The sequence below is a fragment of the Homo sapiens genome, chromosome 14, assembly GCF_000001405.40.
Source record: "Homo sapiens chromosome 14, GRCh38.p14 Primary Assembly".
Classification (NCBI taxonomy): Eukaryota; Metazoa; Chordata; class Mammalia; order Primates; family Hominidae; genus Homo; species Homo sapiens.
The window spans coordinates 23,602,123-23,608,925 of record NC_000014.9 but is presented as its reverse complement, the minus strand read 5'-3'; the positions used below and the strand labels follow the sequence as shown (position 1 = coordinate 23,608,925).

General features: G+C 48.8%; 2 annotated features.

The window, feature by feature from the left end:
- Positions 2,528-2,737: an enhancer, noted in NCBI's record as "active region_8178". NCBI's record gives its function as "activates an Ori minimal core promoter by ATAC-STARR-seq in GM12878 lymphoblastoid cells {active_cell/tissue: GM12878}" and the evidence as "EXISTENCE:reporter gene assay evidence [ECO:0000049][PMID:35858748]".
- Positions 6,272-6,566: an enhancer, noted in NCBI's record as "tiled region #10629; HepG2 Activating DNase matched - State 5:Enh, and K562 Activating non-DNase unmatched - State 24:Quies". NCBI's record gives its function as "activates a minimal TATA promoter and a strong SV40 promoter by Sharpr-MPRA in HepG2 cells, with weaker activation in K562 cells {active_cell/tissue: HepG2 | K562}" and the evidence as "EXISTENCE:reporter gene assay evidence [ECO:0000049][PMID:27701403]".

Sequence of the window (6,803 nt, the reverse complement as noted above, 5' to 3'; positions counted from 1 at the left end):
GGGAAGCCTTCTAAATGGAGTTGTCAAGAAGGCAGTTAGAAATGCAAGACTGATAACAGAATTCAAGCATGGAGCCATGGATGTGTGCATTGTCTACAGAGATGTGATAGAAGCCATGACTGTGGATAGGATTACTAAGGGAGGGAGGGCAGAGACAGAAGAGGAAAAGGCCAGTATAAGATACTTGTAAGTTGTGCTGTTTGCCTGTTGCCTCTTGGGCCCATGCCACCCTCCCCTGTGGTGTGAGGGCCAAGGGACTGCCAACAGCCTTTCCCAGACTCTCTCTTGCCAGCTGGCTTCCTATTCAATTCTGCTACTAAGAGGCACTGAGACGTGGCTGAAGGACATAGGGTGAGAGAAGGGTTTTCCTCCTGTTTCCAGCTCCTGTCAATGTCCCTCCAGGAGGACTCTAGCCTAGGGCTTAGCAAACTTTTTCTGTAAAGAGCTGGACATGAAGTAGTTTAAGCTTTGCAGGCCATATGGTCTCTGTTATAACTCCTCAACTCTGCCATTGTACTGCAAGAGCAGACATAAACAATATATAAATGAATAAGGATGACCACATTGCAATAAAACTTTATTCATGGACACTGGAGTTTGAGTGTTTTATAATTTTCATGTGCCATGAGATATATCTTCCTTTTCGGTTTTATTTTCAGCCATTTTTAAAATATGAAGAATATTCTTTTTTTGTTTGCTTGTTTTTTGAGATGAACTCTTGCTCTGTCACCCAGTCTGGAGTGGAGTGGCGCAATCTCGTCTCACTGCAACCTCTGCCTCCCGGGTTCAAGCAACTCTCCTGCCTCAGCTTCCCAAGTAGCTGGGACTACAAGTGTGCACCACCATGACTGGCTAATTTTTTTTTTTTTTTGTATTTTTAGTAGAAACAGGATTTTGCCACATTGGCCAGACCGGTCTCGAATTCCTGACCTCAGACCATCCACCCGCCTCGGCCTCCCAAAGTGCTGGGATTACAGGCGTGAGCCCCGTGCCTGGCCAAAATGTGAAGAACATTCTTAGCTCGTGGGCCATGGAGAAACAGGTGGCAGCTGGATTTGGCCTATGGGCAATAGGTTGCCCGTGCTAGCTCCCAATTCTTCAGACACTCCTGGCAGCAGGTGAACTGCACCTCCTGGAGATACCAGCGCCCCAGAGGCTCAACCCCATCACAATGCATCCTCATTCTGTGGTCTGAACATGGGCCAGGCAAGGCTGAGCCTGGAGGCTCTGGTGGCCCCACTTCTTCTCTTCTGTCCCTCCAGCCCTGAGAAGGAACTCCTGTAGTTACCATATCTGGTCACTGCAGCATCTCCATTTGCCCTTCCAACCCTCCAACACTGGAGTAGTCAATTCCCTGAATACATCCCTTCTGTAAGAAATGCCTTGCATGGAATCGTTTTCCTGCTTGGACTCTGACTGACACAGAAATCCTTCCATTTTAGGGAGGGGAAGAAGAAAAGGAAGCCAAAAGGGAGAAGTCAAAGACTGAAGAGGCAAATTAGGAGTGTCCCCACACTGAAGGGAAAAGAAGCTCAGGAAGAAGGTCCTGGGGAGCAGCAGTTGCCACTGCTGAGAGGTGAAGAGGATGCCTGCGAAGAGGGTGATGAGCTGAGGAACTTCCAGAAGTCATCCTCAGGGGGTGGCAGGGGCCCGGGAGCTGGAGGCAGACAAGACACAGCCTCCTCTTGTGAGAGTTTGTGAGAGGCAGGGTCTGAGGCAGTCCCTTGTGATGCAGGAGAGAAGCATGGAGATGGCTCTGCCCGTGTCAGGACTGTCAATCCTCCCAGTTGGCAAACACATGGAACCCGGGGGTAGCCACCTTCCCTCCTGACTCTCTCCCTCCCTACACTGCACTTTCCTGGCCCTGCCTCTGATTACAGAACACACCTGGGCACTGGCTGAAGTTCCCTGCTCCTGCAGATATTCTTGTGGGTAAGCAAGCACAGGTGAATTACCAGGGATGCCCCTCCAAGAGCTGTCTTGTGAGCACAGAGGATTGTGGGTGTTTTAAACGTCTTCATGACATTAATTAATCCAGCAAATATTTATTCACCACCACCTGTGTGCTAGGCACTACTCTAGGTGGTATTGATACAGCAGTGAGTTAAAAAAATGCCTTCAAGGTGCTTATATTCTTGTGGGAGAGACAGGTAATAAACAAGTAGACATAAAAATGGCAGGTGCTGAGAAGTGCTCTGAAGAAAAATACAACAAGGTGAGGGGGACAGGGAGTGCAGGATGTGAGTGATTTTTTTCTCTGGCCCATATCAGGATGGCCTCTCTGAAGAGTTGACAAGTGAGCAGAGGCTTAAATAAGTGAGAGTGAAGAATGTTCCAGGCAGTGGGAAAAACCAAGGCAGAAGCAGGAGGTAGGAGAGTGTTTGGCATAGTTCGAGGGACAGCAAGGAGGCTTAGTGTACCTGGAGTAAATAGGCTGAAAGAGAGGGATAGGAACTAACTCAGAGAGGGTTAGGCTTTGAGTCACGATGAGGACTTAGCTGTTACTCTGAGCAGTGGGTTTGAACACAGAAGTGACACATCTAATTTTCATGTAAAAGATTGACCATGACAACTATGGGGAGAAGAAACTGCAAGATGACCCCTCCATTCTCAGAATGATGTTACTCTTCTAAAAATAGAGCTAGAAAGTCATATCCCACAAGTGTAGGTTGGTGCTCAAGTGGCTGAGTACAAGAATAATAGAAGAAAAGCTGTGAGTCAGAGTTGGCCACAACCTAAACATGAATTAGGAGTGTCATGCCACGGGGAAAACTCAAAAGGCAGACAACCCTGGGATGTGTTGGTATAGCCATGGGACACGCAAAGACTGGGACACTGACTTTGTGCGTGTTCAGCATAAGTGGGCTTCCTGCCATGCCTTCTGTTTGCAATGCTTCCCACCTGTCCCACAGTCTAGGCTGTACACAGGCCTGTCTCCCTCCACAAGCACTTCCTCCCAGTGTTTTTCCTTCCGTCTGTGTCTTTTGTGCTGTCATTCGGTCAGCAACTACCATGTATAAAACTTAATGAGCAGTGCCATGGGAGAGTCTCTGATAAGTGCTTGGAGCTCAAATCCTTTGTTAATTGTATCTAGACAGCTATGTCTGCTGTTGGCACAAATCTCTCTTGTTGGCCCCTTCAAGTTTATCCTCTAACTGTGGGCTTTTCTCCACCTCTTATAATTGTACTCTTGGTGGATTTTCCTATTTATGAAGCTCTATTGGAATATATGCCCTGCCAGAGAAAAGATCTTCTCTACTGTCAAGAATCACTGGTTTCAGTTGGGTCAGGACTGACAACCTAGCCTCTGTGTGTAGACAAGTGAAGACAATCAGGGCTAGGGTTGGCAGAATTGTGCAGGGAGTCGATATGTCATCTTCAACACCTGTACATTCACCTCTAAGCAGGGCCCTTTTTTTCTGGCAAGCTAAGGCCCTATGTGAATCAATGCAAGGCTTAAGCTTGAAGTACCTATAGCCAATCCCTGTCCCCTTTCCTGACAGGTAATGGCATCCAGAAAGAATGAAACCTTGAAGCAGAAGACATTGGGTGGCTGAGTCAGGGTGTGGGACTTGAGCCAGTTTCCACTCTGCAAAGATCGGGAAACAAGCACCCTCTCCATCTTCCCCAGCCTGGAGATGCCAGCCATGAGGACTCAAAGGGGTCTCTGGCCTGGCATTCAGCCTCCTACCCCAGAGCCCCAGGGAGAGTACTGGGGACTGGAAGCACCAAGCCAAAGGCTCTGAGAGGCCACAGTGCTTGGGGATTGAGGCTCTGAGCCCAGAAACTTTGCCAGAGAGCCACATAGTAGCTCCATAACCACCAACTCCCTGGAGCTAGAGGAAAGGAATGAAGGGAGGCCAGGTCCAAGAACTCCTAGACCAGTCCTGGTGGTGCACATCCTCAGGTACTTTCCCACATAATTATCTTAACAACCTGTGAGGTATTATCAGAGGTGTTTGAAGCAGAGCAATTCCATCTTGAATAGGGGCTGGGTAAAATAAGGCTGGGACCTACTGGGGTGCATTCCCAGGAGGTTAAGTCATTCTTAGTGACAGAATGACATAGAAGTTCAGCACAAGATACAGGTCACAAAGACCTTGCTGATAAAACGGGATGCACTAAAGCAGCCAGCCAGGCTGGGCACAGTGGCTCACACCTCTAATCCCAGTACTTTGGGAGGCCGAGGCGGATGGATCACCTGAGGTCAGGAGTTTGAGATCAGCCTGGCCAACATGGTGAAACTGTATCTCTACTAAAAATACAAAAATTAGCCGGGCATGATGGTGCACACCTGTAATCCCAGGTACTCGGGTGGCTGAGGCGGGAGAATCGCTTGAACTCAGAAGGCAGAGGTTGCAGTGGGCCAAGATCGTGCCATTGCACTCCAGCCTGGGTGACAAAAGCAAAACTCCATCTCAAAAAAAAAAAAAAGAAGCCAGCCAAAACCAACCAAAACCAAGATAGCAATGAGAGTGACCTCTAGTCGTCCTCACTGCTTATACGCTAATTATAATGCATTAGCTGCCAAAAGACACCCCCACCAGCCCCATGACAGTTTACAAATGCCATGGCCATGTAGGAAGTTACCCTGTATGGTCTAAAATGGGGAGGAACCCTCAGTTTTGGGAATTCTCCACCCCTTTCCCAGAAAACTCATGAATAAATGAATAATCCACCCCTAGTTTAGCATATAATCAAGAAATAACCATAAAAATGGTCAACCAGCAGCCCAAGCCACTGATCTGCCTAAGGAGTAGCCATTCTTTATTCCTTTACTTTCTTAATAAACTGTTTTGTTTTGTTTTGTTTTTTTGAGACAGAGTTTCACTCTTGTCACCCAAGCTGGAGTGCAATGGCGTGATCTCAGCTCACTGCAACCTCCGCCCCGCATGTTCAAGCGATTCTCCTGCCTCAGCCTCCTGAGTAGCTGGGGTTACAGGTGCGCACCACCACCCCCGGCTAATTTTTTTTGTATTTTTAGTAGAGACGGGGTTTCGCCATGTTGATCAGGCTGGTCTCTAACTCCTGACCTCGTGATCCACCCGCCTCGGCCTCCCAAAATGCTGGGATTACAGGCCTGAGCCACCACACCTGGCACATGACACCCTTTTTAACGGTAAGAAAAACTGAGTTTCAGTGAGGTTGCACAACATTCCCAAAGACACACAAGCTACAACCTGGCAGGGTCCTCCTGACTCCAGAGCCTGCTCAGATGTCCCAGAAAGAACCCCCCAGGAGCCTCATTAGGGGCCCCAGTGGCCTGTGAAGAACTGGTGGATAAACTCAGACCTAACACCAAAGCTGTGTCTAGAGAGGCAACTGCAGTCTAGAGAAGATAGGTTACTGACCTAAGAAACCACAAATTTCACCTTTGCTTCCTCTCCATCAGGTACCCCAGGCCTTCTGACTTTCCCACCCTAAAGCCCATCAGATCCCAAACCTATTTGACATGGTTTCTTTTTTTTCTTTTCTTTTAATAAAAACATTATGAACCTCTAAATCTACTTTAAGACATGGTATCTAATTAGCATAAATGCATTCCAAAGGGTGGGTGGTTCCAGCCCAGATGGGCTTCCAGATGGGCCTCTTTCCTCTAACTGCTGGTCCTTTGGGCACCCCTCCCACCAATACCTCCCTTCCCTTCTGACCAAATTCCGCTTTCCAGAGCCTGGCTCAAGTCAGGAACAGTCCTCTGGTCCCAGCACAGTTCTGCAGAGCTCCTGCACCCCACCTACCCTCCCCTGCCGGCCTCCTCCCTGCCCACTGTGGCCATTTGGCTACAGTAGCTTGAGCTTTGAATTTCAGGACAAATCTAGAAAACCAGGGATCGAATACCTAGGCTCTGGCAACCCAGTGGGGTCTCAGGTGGGGCTAGCAGCCCCCAGTGTTACGTGACAGCCTGTAGCTTTTTAGTCATCACTGTCAGGCTTTTGCATAGCACTGGGAATGGGTCCCTGCCCTCTAGGGCCTAGGGGTCGGGTGCGGGCAGAACAACCACAGATGAGACAATGTAAGAAACTCCTGAGATGCAGAGGAACCAAGTCCTGTGGGATTCCAAAGGGGAGAGCCACTAGTTCTGCTGGGAGAGTGATCCAGAAACTGGTGAGAATGTGGTGGGAAAGAGGGGTACTCACAGGTAAGCTCACGGAGACGAGAGCACAGGAGTCAGATCTGAACGAGGGCAAGGACCAGAGGGCCCTGGTGCGTCATCATTCAAGGCAAAAATGGTCAGAAGTCTTTCCAAAGTTGTTCAGGGTCTCCTGCAGAGGGTTTGGGGCCCATCCTACCACTGCCAACCCCTCAACCATCCTTCCTGTCCACAGCCTGAGGTCACCATGGTCACTGATGTCTGAAGGCCAGAAATAGAAATGAGTCACTTGGCCTTCTAATGTGCTTTATCTAATGTTTGCTTTATTGAAGATGAAACAGTCGCCTTTTGCAGTGGGAGCCTCACTAGGCACCTGAGCTGCTGCATGTGGTGTCTGGGTCTCAGTATTCATGTAATGCCTGCATGTTCTTTCTGCTATAAAACAGGGTCACACTACCTCTTCAGTTCAGCCCCGAGACTTTGCTCTGTCAGGGGAGGGGTGCCGGGATCACCACTAAATATTAGTGCAGTTAAAGTTACCCTACTCTTCTTTTCCTGTAGCTTATCATCAAGGAGACACAGTAGTGGTTGAAGGTGAAGGGAAGCCCACCTCCAAGAATGCGAGTATGACCTTAGACATGCACCCCAGAGGAAAGAATGCCCACAGTCACTCTGAACGTATTCAGGGCAGCTCCTGTGCCAGCATAAGCAG